At 50.0% G+C, this 17587-nt stretch overlaps 1 protein-coding gene across 7 annotated transcripts in view, besides 2 other annotated features; it reads left to right on the forward strand.

Annotated features, from left to right (window-relative positions):
* Positions 1–17587, forward strand: part of TSPAN18 (tetraspanin 18) — a 206114-nt gene that overhangs the window by 66057 nt on the left and 122470 nt on the right. The gene's annotated exons all lie outside the window — the stretch shown is intronic.
* Positions 2936–3852: an enhancer, noted in NCBI's record as "H3K27ac-H3K4me1 hESC enhancer chr11:44816852-44817768 (GRCh37/hg19 assembly coordinates)". NCBI's record gives its function as "activates a minimal SCP1, AML or CMV promoter by ChIP-STARR-seq in primed H9 embryonic stem cells {active_cell/tissue: H9 hESC(primed)}" and the evidence as "EXISTENCE:reporter gene assay evidence [ECO:0000049][PMID:30033119]".
* Positions 5539–6217: an enhancer, noted in NCBI's record as "OCT4-NANOG-H3K27ac hESC enhancer chr11:44819455-44820133 (GRCh37/hg19 assembly coordinates)". NCBI's record gives its function as "activates a minimal SCP1, AML or CMV promoter by ChIP-STARR-seq in naive and primed H9 embryonic stem cells {active_cell/tissue: H9 hESC(naive and primed)}" and the evidence as "EXISTENCE:reporter gene assay evidence [ECO:0000049][PMID:30033119]".

The following is a 17587-nucleotide window of genomic DNA, read 5'->3' on the forward strand; positions in this document are numbered from 1 at the left end:
GGGCTGGTGAGTCCCAGGGCTGGAGCCAAGTTCACAGGGGCTGAGTGGAAGGAGGTGAGCGGGGGTGGCCAGGGAAGGTCATGAGGGGCCTTGCGGGCACTTGAGTGTGGTGTCTGTCTTGCTGACTGCCTGGCACACAGTAGGTGCTACCTAAGTGTGCCTCCCTTCAACCACTGTTTCATTAGAGCTTTCTCAGTGGCAGACCTTGCGCAGGGCGGTGGGAATTCAGAAAGGAGCCGGGGCCTCTCCATCATGGGCTTTGGTGGAGCTGTGTGGAGTGATGTAGAAACCAAGAGGTTTCTGTGCCCCTCTGATCCTCACTCAGTGGGGTTCCTCCCGGAAGAGGTGACACCTCAGTTAGCTCTTGAAGGAGTGGACCTCCACCCCGGGGAAGTAGCCTGGGAAGGATGTACTGAACAGAGTGGACAAACAGTACCTGCCAAGGCCAAGAGGTGGGAGAGAGTGTGGCTTGTGGGGCAAGGGCTGGCAGTGACCGTGGCTGGAAATCCAGGGTTTGCAGGAGGATGGGGAAGCCACAGGAGCTGAGGCTGGGGAGTGGTCCAGCTCCTGCAAGGCGTCTCGTGTGACTCAAAGTCAAGTTGTCCCAGAAACAGACCCTGAGATGTGATATGCTCCCAGGGGGAAGGGGAGGGAGCTGGGAAAATGGGAAGGGAAGGGAGACAGTGAAACAAGGGTGAGATCCTAGGCCAAGCCCTGCGGGGTCTAGGGTGTCTGTTGTGCCTCAGAGTTTGTACCCCACCTCCTGGGTTAAAGTGATTCTCATGCTTCAGTCTCCCAAGAAGCTGGGCTGACAGGCGTGTGCCACCACGCCCACCTATTTGTACCACATTGTGGCAAGGGAGCTGTGCTTTCCTACCCCACGCCTGCTGGTCATTGGCTGAGGAGGTGGGGAGGCTCAGAGCACTTTTGACTTTTGCTTGTGGAACAGAGCCACTCCAGGGACTCAAGGGCCACCTGCTGAAGAAGAATCCTAGGTGCAGGAGTTAGGAGCAAATGTACTCAGAAACGCACCAGGCATCAGAACGGAAATGGCTGAGCTAAGGTGACCAGCCCTCCCAGTGTGCCAGTGACCCAGGGGTTTCCTGGAAGTAGGATTCTGAGTGCTGAAGTCAGGATGGTCGGTCATCCAGAGCAGCAACGGCGTTGCTACACGGAGCTCACCTTTTTCCACCTCAGTTTTCTTTTCTGTAAAATGGGGATCATAATAGAGCCAACCTTGTGGGGATGCTGGTGAGAGTCACCACGTTACCCTGGTGCATTGCCAGGAATGCTTGTTCTCTAAGCCCTCCTCTCCACTTGCCAGGCACTGGGCGACCCCAAGGCCTGGAATGATGAAAGCAGACATTTCCAAAGCTGGGGAACGTCCTCCTGTTCTTTACCTTCCACTGCGCTCCCTTCCCATCCCTTCCCCAGCCATTTGACAACTGCCCATGAGCTGAGGCCCTGGAGAGGAGGAGGCTGTGTCTTTAAGTGTTCCGAACAGCACTGAAATGTTATGACAGTGCATCTCACAAGGGATGCCGTTTCCACGGCAACCCCACTCTAAGATAAGCAAGCCGCCTGTATTTTTTTCTGAAAGGTTGAGGAACAGGGGGGTGGGGGGAGTTAGGCGATCTGTCAGCGGGTGGGACTTGAAAGCAAGAGCCACGTCCATTAATCCTTTAGCTCTGATTGTGTTATCCAGGAATCAGCCATTAGAGGAGGGAGAAGCAGGGCCCCTTCCCCTGGCATCCTGTCTCATAAACTAGAGTAGGGGCTACCTCTGGACGCTTGGCAAGAGGAAGACAGAGAAAGAACCATGGTCAAGTTTTGTCTGAGAAACTGCAGCCCTCTAGCCTTTACCAGGTTCACCCCTACCAAGTGTTTCCTGGTATCCAGAGAGTACCTGGCCAAAAGAACCTGGAGCTTCACACATGTGTGGTTGTGTGTGTGTGTGTGCACGTGTGGATGCATGTGTGTGTAGAGCCCAGGGTCTTTGGTATTAAGAACTCAGGCTCTGGCCGGGCATGGTAGCTCATGCCTGTAATCCCAGCACTTTGGGAGCCCGAGGCAGGTGGATCACCTGAGGTCAGGAGTTCAAGACCAGCCTGGGCAACATGGAGAAATCTCGTCTCTACTACAAAGACAAAAATTAGGTGGTTGTGGTGGCACACGCCTGTAATCCCAGCTTCTTGGGAGGCTGAGGCATGGGAATCATTTGAACCCAGAAGGCGGAGGCTGCAGTGAGCTGAGATCTCACCACTGCACTCCAGCCTGGGCAACAGAGCAAGACTCTGTCTCAGGAAAAAAAAAAAAGGGAGAACTCAGTCTCTGTTCCGAGACGTAAGTTCAAATTCTGGTCCTATCAGCAGCTGGGGTATTGGATAAGCTACTTAACCTGCTGAGCCCTCAGCTTCTTCATCTATAAATGGGCATAATAATGAAAGCGCCTGTCTGATGAAGTGGGTGTGAGGACTTAAGAGAGAATGAATGTATGTGACTAACAGTGCTCAGCACAGTGCCTACTCCATAGTAGGTGCTTAATAAATGCTAGTTATTAACATGCATTTTCATTAACTGAATCAGTGGGAAAAATGATGCCAGCTTGGTTGAAGCATAAAGAGGGGGTCCTCACTGGCTTTAGGCAGACATCGGCATTGTCCAAGACCACCTCAAAGACCTGCTGCCATTTCTGCCATTGGAACCCCCACCCCCACCCCCACCCCCGGGGTCTTCCCATCATACCTAGAGTCAGATCTAAGTTCCTTATTGTGGCTGGCTCCTGCCAGCCTCATCCTTACCACCTGGGCTCCTTCAACAAGCTGGGCCAGTTCCGGTCCTCACGCCAGCTGCTTCTCTTCCTGGGACCACTCTTCCCTCACTGGCCCACTCCAGCATGGAAGGGTTTGACATCATCCAAGGGCTGCTGCCTCATCCCCTGGTCCTGATGTTGGCATGAGGCGATGTTTAAGATGCCTGCCCTGGAGCTTCCCTGCCTGGGTTCAGATCCAAGGTCCCACTGCCTGCCCCAGTCATGGTAAGCCAGATGATTTCTCTAAAGCTCAGCTTCCTCATCTGCAAAGTGGTCATGATGGTATCCTACCTCCACTCATCCAAGCAGTAGGGCAGTGGGGGTACAGGAAACCAGCTGGGAGGCTACTGCAATAGTCCAAGCGAGTTCTGGCGGTGGCCAGCCTGACACACAGGTGTGAGGATCAGGCATGCACTGGACTTCCAGGGATGAGTTCACACCCTCTCACTGCCACACCCTTACTCCTGCCGCTTCTGATTGTCTAAGCTTCTGGGGCCCAGACCCCATTTTCTGCCCCAGGAGCCGGAAGAAAGGATACATTTCATTCACCAGACCCCGCTGGAGTCTTGACCTCTCAGAACCTGACTGGCTTCCATGTGGTTTGGGACCTTGGGGTGTACAGGCATGAGATGCATTGTGCCCTGAGCCCACTGCCGGCTGGCACCAAGGACCTTTGGAGGCTTTGGGGTGATCTGGGACTAGCCAGGGCTCCCTGCTCCCAGGCCTGCTAAATGTGGAGCTGTAGCCTGCAGACACAGCCTGTCACTGTCACTACCTGTCCCAAACCTCAGGGGTGAGCCATGGCTGTGAATGCACTTTCTATTCCTTTTTTGTGCCCTCTGGCCTTCCTGTGGTCCCTCCGTTGCCCTTTCCATGCCACATCATGACTGCATCTCACTCATTTGCCCCAGTGTTCAGGAGACGCTTTGCCCACATCTGCTTTTAAAGAACAACAAGCTGAGATGTCACAGAATGGCAAGGAGGAGGAGAAAATGGAGGCTCCTGGTTCTTTGCTAATTTATTTTGACAACTGTAATTTCATTTTAATTATTTATGATCATTATTTAGAGTTCACTGGCAAGCGACCTGAGGTGTATGTTTTGTGCAGTGGAGAAGCCATGGCAGTGGGAGATTGGTTTTCAGTTTTTACGATGTTTTTGCTGATTCATGGGAAATGGATGGCAGGGTCCTCTGCCCCAGCCTTAGCCCCACTCCTGTGGGTTCCTCCATTGCCATGGAAGAATTATTCTCCCTTCACACGGTGGAGATAAAAGCAAGAACCTGGAGCTCAGGGTCGGTCATGGGGACTGGTGGAGTCATCGTCCCTGTTTCCAGCTGGGTTTCTTCTCCTTGGAGAGGCAACACCTCTCCGGGTTTTGCCTGCACATAGCGCCCAGAATGGAACCCAGCATGTCAAAGTAGGGAGAATGTTGGTGACTACAGGTCTCCCCCTATCCTTGTTTTATGTACTAGGGAACTAATGACCTGAGAAGGACAAGGATAGCCTCAGTCACACAGCAACAACCAAAATACAGACCTGCTGAGCCCGGGCCAGCCTGAGCCTACCCACCCTCTGTCTGTCCTCTAGGCTTCTGCTCTGGCTGGAGCAGGGTGTGTAGGTATCTATTCTCATGCATATTCCCAGCCCCCAGACCTGAGTCTGCAAGGACTTTCTCAAGCAAATGATCACCCACGTTGAGACACTGGTTTAGAGGGTATGTTCAGAACTGTGGCTTCTTGAAGGCCATGGCTGGTGGGTTTCCTATGGTATTGGCTTTGAGGGTTCTGAGAACATTGTCCTGACTCTGAGTAGCATCCTCACCCAACTTCAGGTATTACAGGACCTGAAATCCTACCTGTGGAGATTTTTTCCTTTGGAGATAAGCATCACCTTCCATATTCTGGATGTTCCTAGGAGGAGTGACTCATTGATGCCACAAGAAATCCGTAGTAACAACCCCTCATGTCTGTTGAGTAGGTTGGACCCTTGGCTTATCTGATTTCTCACAACCCAGGAGGCAGACAAAGCAAAGACTCTTTCTGCCCATTTTACAGATGAGAACCGAGAGGTTCCAAGAAGTTGACGCCCCTAAAAGTCACGTGGCCAGTGAGTTCACAAACCAGACTCTGGACATTTGAGCCCCCACTGTAGCCTGATGAGGTGGGTGTTAGGGAATAGAAGAGGCTGAGAGGCCAGGTGAGTGGGTGAGGGAATGAGAGGGGAAAGGCTTTGGTGGGGGCCACGGTACCCATCATTATTATTTATAGGATAGATCTGGTGGGACTTTCTGAGCGATGTGAGGGATGATGGCGGGGTGGGGAGGAGTATGGAGACTGATGAATGGATTCTGTGCCTGAGCACCTGGGAGCCAAGTCCTGCCATTAATGAAAATGGGGACGGGAGCAAACACACCTACAGTGAACGCCTCCTTGGTGAGACTCAAAGATTCTTAAGGACCAGTTCTGTGCCACATTCATCATTTTGTTATCCTTGTGTCTAGCAAAGGCACTGACGGGATGAGATTCTCAGGACTGGTTTGTCAAGAGCACATGTGAATGGGGGAGGGGAAGGAGCTCCTAAAGGCATGAAAGTGAAAAATTTGGGAGGAATTAACACTCCCCTGCCTCAGGTGAAGCGACCTCTGGCCTTTCTCTAAGTGGGTGACATAGAGCACTAATGCTTGGCCCTAAACAGTTGCTCAGCAGAGAAGTTTAGGAACGAGTGTGTACTCTGCCTCCATTTCTAGAGAGTCAAGACGCTTGTTGGGTCAAATAAAGGCTCTGATAAGTCCTGCACAAAGGAGCCTGTTTAACTTGGGGTAAGCCAGCATTTCCCAGACTTCATGGACCACAGTGCCTTTTTTTGTTGCTGAGGTTATTAACATCTGAACACACTTCTAGAAAGGCTCTTCAGGCCAGCCTCCCTCCTGTGTGCTCAGTGGCTGGCCGTCCCTGAAGAGGGTCAGAGAGGCCCGTGCCCTCCCACACTCAGCTCTTAGGAAATCACTATCTGCTGTTGAGGATTATTCTGAAGATGGTACCATCATTAGCATCATAATAGCAGCTTCACTTACTCAATCCTTAAACTCCCGAGCAATGTGGTGAGCAGCTTTCCTGCGTCTTTCATGTAAGGCTCACAGCAGCCCTGTGATGTGGGTACTGTCATCACCATCCTCATTTCACAGACAGGGAAAGACGGGGAAAGCAAGACTTGGAGGATTAAGTCGCTTGTCCAAGGTCACACAGCTGGAAAGTAGCAGAGCCAGATGTAGTCACAGAAAAGCTCCAGTGCATTCCTTCCCCCAAGCTTAACCACTGCCCTGTCCTGTGAGGGACTTGGTAGCCTCCCCCATCTGGCCCAGACCATGGCTAAGCCACTCTGGGGGCCCCAAATTTGGTGTTTGCATTGCTAGCTTCAGTCTGGACCCCCCTGGGCAGCCCTCACCCCCTGCCCTCCCCTTGGCCTTCCTGGAACTGATGCTGAGTATATTAGAAACCCATGGAATTGGAGAGTTTTAAACAGGAAACTGGTATAATTTTGGTCAGGAGCTCAGGCTAGAGTGAGGAAGCTCTGCCAGGCACAGCCACATCCAAAAGAAATAGAGAGGGAGGGTTTAGAGTTTCCAGTTTGTGCATTTCAGGGATATGAAGATAGATAAAGGAGTTGTATTCAGCCCTGTCCAGGCTTGACTGTCTTTTGTTTTTCTTGTCTTCCAAGTCCTTCTTTATTGAATCTGGTGAGACTGAGGCCAACTAGGGGACCCAGGGCAGTGAAGCTTCATCTCATGGGACTTATCCCCACCCCCACCCCGCCTTTGTGACTTTTTGTGTCATGCTCTGCACCCCACCCCCTCCCAGGCAGTGCCGCCCCCTCCTCACCCTTGCCCTCCCTTGTTTTTTGTTCCTCTGGGAGCTCCCCAGAGAGTGGGCCACTGTGGGGGCCATCGGTGCAGAGAGGACACAATGGAACTCTTGTGAAACTGTGGGCTTCTCCTGCCCCCTCCCCAGGGGGCCTGTCCAACATTCCTCAGCCTTGCCCGAGACCTTCTTGAACCCTCGTCCCCTTGGAAAACCAGACTAAACTGGTCTCATGGGGAGAGGGTTTTTGTCTGCCTAAGGAGCCTGTCCCGCACCCCACCCCAACTTCGGAGCGGCCACTGCCCTTGCACACCCTATACCTTGGTCCAAACGACACACCCACGACACCATGCCAACCTCGGATTTAAAAGTTTTATTAGATTAGCAAGTTCATTCTTCACTCAGCTCTTCTCAGCCCCCATTCAACTGCATTTCAATTCCACAAACATCTGTTAGCCCTCCAAGTAAGGGAGAACGTCAATGAGCGGGCAGTAGCTCCCAGTGGAAGAGGGCACTGTGGTGGAGGGACTAGAAGGATGACCCTCCCAGGCCTATTGCGTGGGGCACATCGATTGGGTGTTTATTATGTGTCAGCGATGATTTCTGTGGTCACAGCAACCCATGAGGTAGGTGCTACTATTTTCCCTTTCTACGAAAGAGGAAACTGAGGCATGAGGAGTGATGACCCATTCCCAGGGTTACAGTCAGGAAGTGGCAGAGCCAGGATTTGAACCCAGGCAGACTGCCTTCAGAGCTGCTCTTAACAACCCATGCATTTATTAGAATGCTTGGCAAGTATTTATTTATTTATTGAGACGGAGTCTCGTTCTGTCACCCAGTCTGGAGTGCAGTGGCACGATCTTGGCTCACTGCAATCTCTGCCTCCTGGGTTCAAGCGATTCTTGTGTCTCAGCCTCCCGAGTAGCTGTGATTACAGGTGCACACCACCACACCCGGCTAATTTTTTGTGTTTTTTTTTTTTTTTTTTTTTTGTATTTTTAGTAGAGACAGGGTTTCGCCATGTTGGCCAGGCTGGTCTCAAACTTCTGACCTCAGGTAATCCACCTGCCTCGGCCTCCCAAACTGCTGGGGTTACAGGTGTGAGCCACTGCGCCCAGCCTGGCAAGTACTTATTGAGCCAGGTACTCTCTGCCACTAGAACAGCCTCTCCCCAGGGCACGTGCTTTAAGATTCACAACATACATTCAGACCACAGTCTTCAGGATGACTGTGCAGGTATTAGAGGACCCATTTTGATGATGGAGAAACTGAGGTTCAAAGAAGTGAAAGGTATTGCCAGAGGCCCCAGAGCTGGGGGATCTGGCGGATCTGGGGTTGGAGCCTCTTCTGCCTCACTTACATCTCAACTGAGCCCTCAGCTCAGTGTCAGGACTAAATACCTGTGCCGTAAATGAAAGCCTGGTTACCTGCAAGAGACCAGGGTTGGGTGAGCCCCTCTGTCTGGGTAAGAACGGGCCACCTGGCTCAGGGCTTTACCTGGCTGTATGAAGTTCCCCTTCCATAGGGCCTGTATTTGCGCAGTGATGGGAGGCTTCGCTCAAAGCTCATTTGCAGCTGTTCTCTGCCAGAGCCCCTTTCTGGGCTGTGCAGCAGGATGCCCGGTGACACCTGTTTGCAGAAGTTTCTGGTCTCCCTACCTGGAACAGATTTGGCCCAACCCCCTCGTAGTCTCTTCCTGAGAAGGGGCCTTCCTAGGATTGGGGACAGGTGGGGGCAGGGACTTCTCAGGCAGTCAGTGGGGTCATAAATCGGGCTAATTGCAAAGCTTCCTTCCACAGAGGCACAGTGTCTGCCCAGAAAGTCTGTCTTCTGGGAAAAGGCCAAGAGGACACAATGAGTCTTTACCATGCAGGGGCCCGCCTGGGCTGCGAGGGGCTGGGGGCCTGACCCACAGCCCAGAGCTGCACAGTCTGACAAGGGCAGAAGCAGGACCAAGCCTCACATCTTCTGACCCCTAGGCTGAAGCTTTTTAAACTGTACAGTTGTCCCCTCATATCTATGGATGACTGGTTGTATGGATGCTAAAATCTGCAGGTGCTCAAGGCCCTTAGAGCATTTGCTTATTTATTTATGTTTAAATAGCTTCCAAATCAGGATTGTCGGATTGTTGGGGCTGAGCAATTGGTACATAGGGGTTCATTATAGTATTCTCTCTGTGTGTGCTTGAAAACTGCCAAAAGTTAGAGTTCACGTGATAAACTAAATGTTACCACTTCAGAAAGACTTTTGCAGAACAAAAATTTAGATTGCCATTCTCTACAGCCCCTGCTTTGCTTCCTCCATAGAAGTTACTCTAACGTGAGGTTCTTTTCTTATCTGTCCCTGTCTGTCTCTGTCTCTGGAGTGGAGCTTCCTGTGTTTGCTTCATTTATAGGTATCTCCTTATCTGCCAGCACAGAGCTGGGCATACAGAAGGTACCCAGTACATACCTGTGGAAGGAAATAATATCCATATAGCATCCAGAGAAACCACACTAGTTTCAAGGAGTTGGTGGGGAATCATGGGAAAAAATGAAAAAAATATCTTCATAAGTTAGCAGTGCCTCAGGGTGGTGGTTAAGAGCTCCAAAGACAGAAGGAAACTGCCTCATTTGAATCCCAGCTCCGTTTTCCCAGTGACCTTGGAGGAGTTACTAGCCTTTTCAAGCCTTTATCTCTTCACCTGTAGAATGGTGGCAATAATAGTTCTAGCTGCCGGCTTTAGTGGCTCACACCTGTAATCGCAGCACTTTGGGACTCCGAGGTGGGAGGATCAATTAAACCCAGGAGTTTGAGACAAGCCTGGGCCACATAGTGAGACCCTGTCTCTACAAAAATAAAAAACATCAGCTGGGTGTGGTGGTGTCCACCTGTGGTCCCAGCTACTCGGAAGGCTGAGGTGGGAGGATTGCTTGAGCCTGGGAGGTCAAGACTGCAGTGAGCCATGGTCAAGTCACTGCACTCCAGCCTGGGTGACAGAGTGAGACCTTGTCTCGAACATAAAAAGATTCTAGCCATCAGTGTTCAAGAATGTCATCATCCATGCACTTCCCTGCTAGGTCTTAGACCTACCTCACTGGGAAGCACATTAGGACCTGGAGAGTCTCTCCTCAAGCTGGAAAAGGCAATAGAGGGGGAGTTTGGGAAATGGACAGTGGAATACGGCAGCCCCTGGGGGTCTTTGGTGGGTCAGGAACCCTGCAGGAGAGGAAACAGCAGACAGACACAAAGGCTCTGAGATGGGTTCTGGGACCCAGAGAAGCGAAGCACAAAGTGGTTGAGGTGGGTGGGGGGAGAGCTGTGGGAGATGGAGTGAGGGGGTAGTGGTGGGGGCTGCAGGGCCTTGAAGAGTTTGGGTTTTATTCTAAGTGCAATGAGAAGCCTTCAGAGAGTTTTAAGCAGAGAAGCTCCAGATTCTAATTTGCATTTTAAATAAATCCCTCTGGCTGCTGCATGGAGAATGGATTATTGGAGCAAAAGTAGGAGCCAGAGACCAGAGAAGATAGAAGTCAGGGCTGCCTCCCCAGCCCCCACTGGATGGAGCAGATGGGAGTGGGGGGCTGGGAAGCACTGCACACACACACACACACACACACACACAGCCTCTGGCAGGGTGGGCTCAAGAACTGGGGAAGAGGTGGCTGGGGCTGCAGGTGGTAAAGGCTGTGGGTGGGGACTCCAGGGCCTCTAGATGAAAGGTCCAGTTTGTCCAAACTGGTTCCCAAAATGCTGGAATGGAAGAGGAAATAGTGAAAGCAAAATAATACAAAGGGCTTTACTAGAGAAGCCTTCCTTGGGGTCTGCTCAGACCCATTCCTTTTATTATTGTTGTTCAGAGTATTGCTCTGATTTTAACATTGAGCTGCTCTGATAAACAGGTGCACCAGCTCCAAGATGGTGGGGACAGTGGAGGGACCCATGTTTGGGGAGAGTCATGGCGGAGGCATGGGGCACAAGTGAGTCTTTCACTCACTACCCATTGATTGAGGGCCTGACACATTCCAGTCCCTACTAGGTGTTAAAAGTTATTCACTGGTCTATGAAACCAAGTTTCTGTCCTCTAGGAATTCAGCCTAGTAAGAAAAGGGAGTGTATGCAGACCACAACACAAGTGAGTGTTCGTGGATGTAAACAGGGCAGGAGCAAAATTCACACAGGCAGATAAGGCTTTTCAGAAGACAAGTCGACAGAGAAGCCAAGAAAGGATTTACTGAGGTGGCCTTGAAGGACTGGGGCTGGGAAGATGACATTTTGGGTGGAGGGACAGCATTTGCCAGTGCTTAGATGTGGGAAAGCATGGGTTGGGGGGGCATTTTTTCAGCAAAGAAGGTATCCTCCCTTCGGGTGGGGATTCTGGGAACATGTACAGGAGTAGGGAAACATTAAATCAGAGAGGGAGGTTGAGGCCAGAGTACAGAAGTTCTTGAATGCTGAATTTGGATTTAATTGTTCTGTCATTAGGAGTCTGAAGGTTTTGGACCAGGCCAGTGGTCTGGAGATATGGCTCTGAGAGAGGGTAGAGGAGGGATTGAAGAAGTGAGAGACTGGAACAAGTTGTCTACTGCAAGGATCCAAGGAGTAGAAGCTGCCGCCCTGGAGTGGAGCAGGGGACACTGGGGTGGAGACGAGGGGCTGATGCAGGAGGTAGCAGGACAACTCTATAGGACTTTGGAATGAATTGGATGGGGCAAGAACAGAAATGCTCTGAGTCTCTGTGTATTTGAGCTGAGATGCTTAGATTATTGAGGCTACTAAGAAAAATGGTGGGAACTCAAAGGATAGAGGAAAAGCTAGTGAGAGGGGCCAGAGAGATGATAAACTCAGCTTAGGGCAAAAATGTTATGATTCTTACTCCGTCAGCCTTCCAACATGAAAACCCCATTCCAGCAGTATTCTCTCAGCACTTGGATGGAAGTTTGACTAGCATTTATTACACCTGAAAAATAAGAATGAAATGTCACCAGCTCACTGAGCCTGCCTGTGCTGTTTATCAGACTACATTGCTGTTCATCATTACTTTGCTGCTTTGTCTCTTTCTGCTCCTGGATGGTAAATTTCTTTTTTTTCTTTTTTTTTTCCCCCCAGAGACAGAGTCTCGCTCTGTCGCCCAGAGCTGGAGTGCAATGGTGCGATCTCAGCTCACTGCAACCTCCACCTCCCGGGTTCAAGCGATTCTCCTGCCTCAGTCTCCAGAGTAGCTGGGATGACAGGCATGTGCCACCACACCCAGCAAATTTTTGTATTTTTAGTTTCACCATGTTGGCCAGGCCGGTCTCGAACTCCTGACCCTGTGATCTGCCCACCTCGGCCTCCCAAAGTGCTGGGATTACAGGCGTAAGCCACCGCGCCCAGCCAGTAAGTTTCTTGAGGGCCACAGGCAGAGGCCACATCAGTTCTTTTTTGACTTCTGTGGACCCAGGATACAGCACAGTCAGCACCTGGCAATGGATGAGTTCAACAAATATTTGTGGACTGAAGGAAGGAAAGGAGGGAGGGAAGGAGGGAGGAAAGGAGGGATGCCTTATTCATCTCAGTTCAGCACAGAGCCTGGCCCTCAGAAGCTCCGTAACTAACATTTGGGGACTGGCGAGCAGCGATGAGGGATTCTTGGCAAGCTGAGGTTTTCAGAGCTCCCCTCTGGTAGCTGCTGTGCTTGCAGGGGTGTGTTTATCTTTAAGGTCTGGATCTAAATTTTTCTTTCAAGTCCAAAGGCTTTTACAAACCCCAGCCTAAAACAACAACTGGATTGCATTTCTGAGGAGGAAGGGTGGGGGTGGGGAGAGAAGAAGAAGGAGAAAGCAAGAGAACCTCTCCACTTCCCACCCCATTATGAGTTCCGACGGAGGTAGAGCCAGAAAAACAGAACAGGCTGTTTAAGTGGGACAAGCAAGAAGCCCAGCCACCTGGGGAGGGCTTGGGGAGGATGCAGAGAAGAAGTCAGTTTGTGGAGAAATAATAGATCTTCTCCTGGTCGGCTGTTAGCAGGGCAGCTGTGGCCGCCCTTGGTTGGGGGAATCAGGAGTGACTGGCTACCTTGTTAGTGGGAGGGGGTCCTCCCAACCATGGGCGGGAGCAGCCGGCACTGGACGCTGCCCAGCAGAAACAGAGCTGGTTATCGCTTTTCATAAAGACTGGTCATTTTCATAAAGACAAATCAATGCCTGGGTGAGTCTCCTTGGCAGAAAGAAAGGCAGCTCTAAATGGGAGCGGCAGATGCGTGCATCTGTGTGCATCTGTCAGGAAAGCCAGGGAGAACGTACAGAGGGATGTGGCTAAAGACAGGTGGCATTCCTGGCCACATTTCACAGCTCTTTTTGATGCAGAAGTAAATACATATGTAAGCTGCTTCCACAGAGGCATTCTCTGGATGCTGGTAAATCAGGGAAAGTTTGGTGGGAAGGGTCTTGATGCCTAACCTCATATTCTGGCTCCAGTTTCCAGGAAGCCCGTGTTCCTCTCAAGATGAGATTGGGGCCCTGGGCCAGGGAGATTGAGTTCGAGTCCTGTGCTGAGCTTTGCTAATAGTGGGATCTCAGCTCAGTCACACGGTCTCCCTGGTCATCCATGTTTGCCTTCTGTGTTAATCTGCTAGGGCTGCTGCAGTGAACACTCACAAACTGGGTGGCTCAAAACAAAAGATGTAATCTCTCACAGTTCTGGAGGCTAGAAGTTCAAAGTCAAGGTGCTGGCAGGGTCGTGCTCCCTCTGAGGCCTCGAGGGAAGAATCTCTCCTCACCTCTTCAGCTTCTGTGGGTTGCTGGCAATCTTTGGCATTCCGTGGTTTGTAGACGCATCACTCTCATGACATGGCCATCTTCCCTCTCTCTCTGTCTGTCTCTCTCTGCCTCCTCTCCTCTTAAAAAGACACAGTCATTGAATTTAGTACCTACTCTAATCCAATATGACCTCAACCTCATTAATGACCTCCGCAGAGATTCTTTCCATATAAGGTCGCATGCAGAGGTTTTGGGTAGACACACATTTTGAGGGAACACTATTTTTTCCTTTTTTTTTTTTTTTTGGAGTCTCGCTCTATCCCCCAGGCTGGAGTGTAGTGGTGCAATCTTGGCTCACTGCAACCTCCGCCTCCCGGGTTCAAGTGATTCTCATGCCTCAGCCTCCCAAGTAGCTAGGATTACAGGCACCTGCCACCACACCCAGCTAATATTTGTATTTTTAGTAGAGACAGGGTTTTGCCATGTTGGCCAGGCCGCTCTCAAACTCCTGACCTCAGGAGATCCACCTGCCTCAGCCTCCCAAAGTGCTGGGATTACAGGCATGAGCCACCGCGCCTGGCCAATATTTAAAGCATTGTTATACTGTATGAAGTCAAACATATGTAGTTCCTAACAATTATTAGGTTGGGTGCCTGTTGGGTGCGTAGTGCTAGAGAAGCACACAGATAAGGACGACACTGTTCCGGATTTGCCAGCCTCATTCCTAACAAGCCAACTTCAGCTCAACTTGCACTAGATCTGTTAGAATGGGTGGGGTGGGTCCAAGAAGCCAAACTTTGCCCCAGAAATATAACTGCTTAAGGACAACACCTGTAGTGTTTGTATGATACAACCTCAAACTTGCTTGGATGTTTAAAGGAAATTGTGAAAGCCCTTTTTTCAGTTTTACTTGTTCCACTATAAAAATCTGTCTAACTCATCTTGGGGCTGAAAGAACATTTTCTGATTCCAGAGACTCTCTCCAACAATTGTTGGAACGTTGGTTGAATAATCTGGGAAGTCTTTGGCAGATCTAAATCAAACATAACTTTTCGAGCTGGTTCCTTCAACACCTCCAGAGCAGGGAGGAAGTGTATTAGCAATAAGAGGCATGTGGTATGTCAGACAATTTTAGGTGGCACTCACATGAACTGGAATGCTTTTTATTTCAATGGTTATATAGTTATCTGAGTGAGTATTTGATGAAGTATATTTAGCACATAAAACCCATGGTTTCCTGAACAGTGCTGCTTAAGACAAAGTTTAAAAAATGAGTTGGGTTTAAGTCATTTGAAAGAAACAGATTCAATAAAGGACAGTACAAGCCAGGGACAGTCACTCACACTTGTAATCCCAGCTACTTGGGAGACCAAAGTGGGAGGATCACTTGAGGCCAGGAATTGGCACCCAGCCTGGCTAAGTAGCAAGACCCTGTCTCTTAAAAAAAAAAAAAAAAAAAAAAAAAAAAAAAAAAAAAAAAAAAAGAAGGAAAGAGGCCAGGCACCGTGGCTCATGCCTATAATCTCAGCACTTTGGGAGCCCGAGGTGAGTAGATCACTTGAGGTCAGGAGTTCGAGGCCAGCCTGACTGACATGGTGAAACCCTGTCTCTACTAAAAATACAAAATTAGCCAGGTGTGGTGGTGCGTGCCTGTAGTCCCAGCTACTTGGGAGGCTGAGGCAGGAGAATTGCTTGAATCCGGGAGGCGGAGGTTACAGTGAGCCGAGATTGCACCACTGCACTCCAGCATAGGCACAAGAGTGAAACTCCATCTCAAAAAAAAAAAAAAAAAAAAAAAAGAAAAGAAAAAAGAATAGCACAGGTGGGATACAGAGAAGGTAAAATGAGTGAATGAAGGTGGTATTCAGTGGGTGTGGGTATTGCAAAATTCCTGGGGGGAACTCAAGTTTGGGAATCACTGGTTGAGTGGATTAGAGACTTTGGCATTGGTACCTGGGTTTGAATCTCTGCTCCGCTGCCTGCTGGCCTGGTAGCCCTCAGACAAGTCACCTAATGCCTTTGGACATCAGTTTCCTCATCTGTAAAGAAAACCTCTGTGGCCCAGCTGAACATCCCTGTGGAGCACTGGGCTCAGAAGGAGAGCTGATATGGGCTGCATGTAGCCTCCAGTGGGACGGGAAGACAGATGCACACCCCAGCTGCCCAAGGGTTACTCAAAGTAGAGGACCGTGTAGGGGTGGCTGAGTTCCGAGGCTCTGAGCTGGGGATCTCCCCTAGAATGTGGGACCCTGGGGTGCGGTCTCAGGAGGTAGCACTTGAAGATCCAAGACTGAAATAGGGCCAGGAGCAGATATTGTTTTAGTAATTCGGGAAGCTTTGGTTTGATTTTTTTTGTATAAACCCCTATTATGTGCCAGGAGCTTCACATGAATATTCATTGTTTCTGCAACAACTTCCCCCAGGAAAGTGATATTATTCCCATTTTACAGATGAAGGCACTCAGGCTCAGAGAGGTGAAGTAACTTGACCAAGGTCACACAGCTAGAAGAGGTGGTGCGAGGATTGGAAACCTCTACCATCTTCCTCCAGCATCTTGAGGGTGGGTGTTTCTGAACCTGGATTCAGACCACAGCTGTGATGATGGACAGACCTAGTACAGGAGGGAGAGACAGGAAATTGACCAGAAAATCCTATGCCTGTGTAAAGACAGCCTATTTATGCGTATGGATTCCCTAGGTAAAGGCATCCATAGGCTCTGCTCATTTCCCCTGTGTTTCTAGAGTGGGAACATGGGATCATCACCTGATCTGTGGCTCTCACTTTTCTCTGCAGCATAGGAGTGAGTGACATGTACAAATACATCCTCCAGAGACCTTGGGGGAGGGAGGTGAGGACGTGGAACAGGGAGATGGAATCTCAGGAGATCAGAAAGCAATTTGAACATGAAGTTACTCTCTGGGGCCTGGCAGCTGTGTGGAGAAAACGATATAATTTAACGTTTCTTGGAAATTGATATTCTCACTTCCCAACGAATCTGGGTTTGTGGACAGATCTCGGTTCCGTCTCCCTCACCGTGGTTTGTGATAACTGCTGATTATCCATATTCGTATAAGATTTGCATTTCCACATGGACTCTTTGCTTGAAAACAGGCCTGTGTTAGTTTGGCACTTGGGTCTATGCGGTTCTCAGGTGTCATCCTTGAACTTTGTGCCTTGACTCCTTTCCAGGCTTACACCCCCTCGGAAATCATGGTAATCGTAGGAGCTAACACTGATTCTATAGCAACTACCATGGGACAGACCTTGTTCTAAACACTTCTCATGTCCTAAATTATTAATCTTCACACACTGTTCACTGATGCAGGTACAATGAACACTGTTTTACAACTGAGGCACAGAGAGGTTAGGTGACTTCCCACAGCCACACAGCCCATCTGTGGTGGAAGCAGGAATAGAACCAGAGTCTGCCTTCTTAACACTGTGCCATTCTGAGTTCCCCAGGAGTTCCTTTACACACACCCATCATGCACTGTGCAGATGTCCATTGCTGAGTTTCTAACACTGGGGAGCACTCATATATTTTCCCATTTATCTCCACCGAGAGGTCTCTGAAGCTGGGGCACAAGCTTCTTCATTCTGCATCCCCAGGACCCGGCATGGCACCTGGCACATGGAGACTATGCAATCAGGTTCTTGTCACAAAAGGATTCAAATCTGAAATTCACTTTCAGGGAAATTCACATCAGTGGCTCCCCAGGAATTGGGAAGGAGCCATTTGAGAAGCAGAGAGCCACAGGTCCATAGATGCGTCTGGCTGTCAGGACATGGGCCCGAATAACCCAGCTTCTCGCTTGATGCTGAACATTAGTACAGAGCTGAGGTGCATTGCTGAATCTTGAGGGGGTGGGTGCTTGGAGTGTGTATCTCAAGAGGTGTGATAGCTCTTCTGAATGATGGTAGTGCGTATGCCATGGGCAAGGCAGGCTGGCACCATGGCTGAGAGCAGCATGCGCTTCTGATCTGGCTCTACCACTGATTTTCTTTAAACCTCAGGTTCCACTTCTGTAAAATGGGTTTGTTATGGGGAATAAGTGAGATGCACAGTGAAATGTGTTCAGCACAGCGATTGGGCCATAGGTACTCAGTAAATGTTAGCTTAATGCATCTTATATTGTCAAAATTACTTTCTTATCTAGCACCCACTGGGTCCTCACACAGCCCTGCAAAGCCCCATTTGATG

Source organism: Homo sapiens, chromosome 11 (assembly GCF_000001405.40).
Source record: "Homo sapiens chromosome 11, GRCh38.p14 Primary Assembly".
Lineage (NCBI taxonomy): Eukaryota > Metazoa > Chordata > Mammalia > Primates > Hominidae > Homo > Homo sapiens.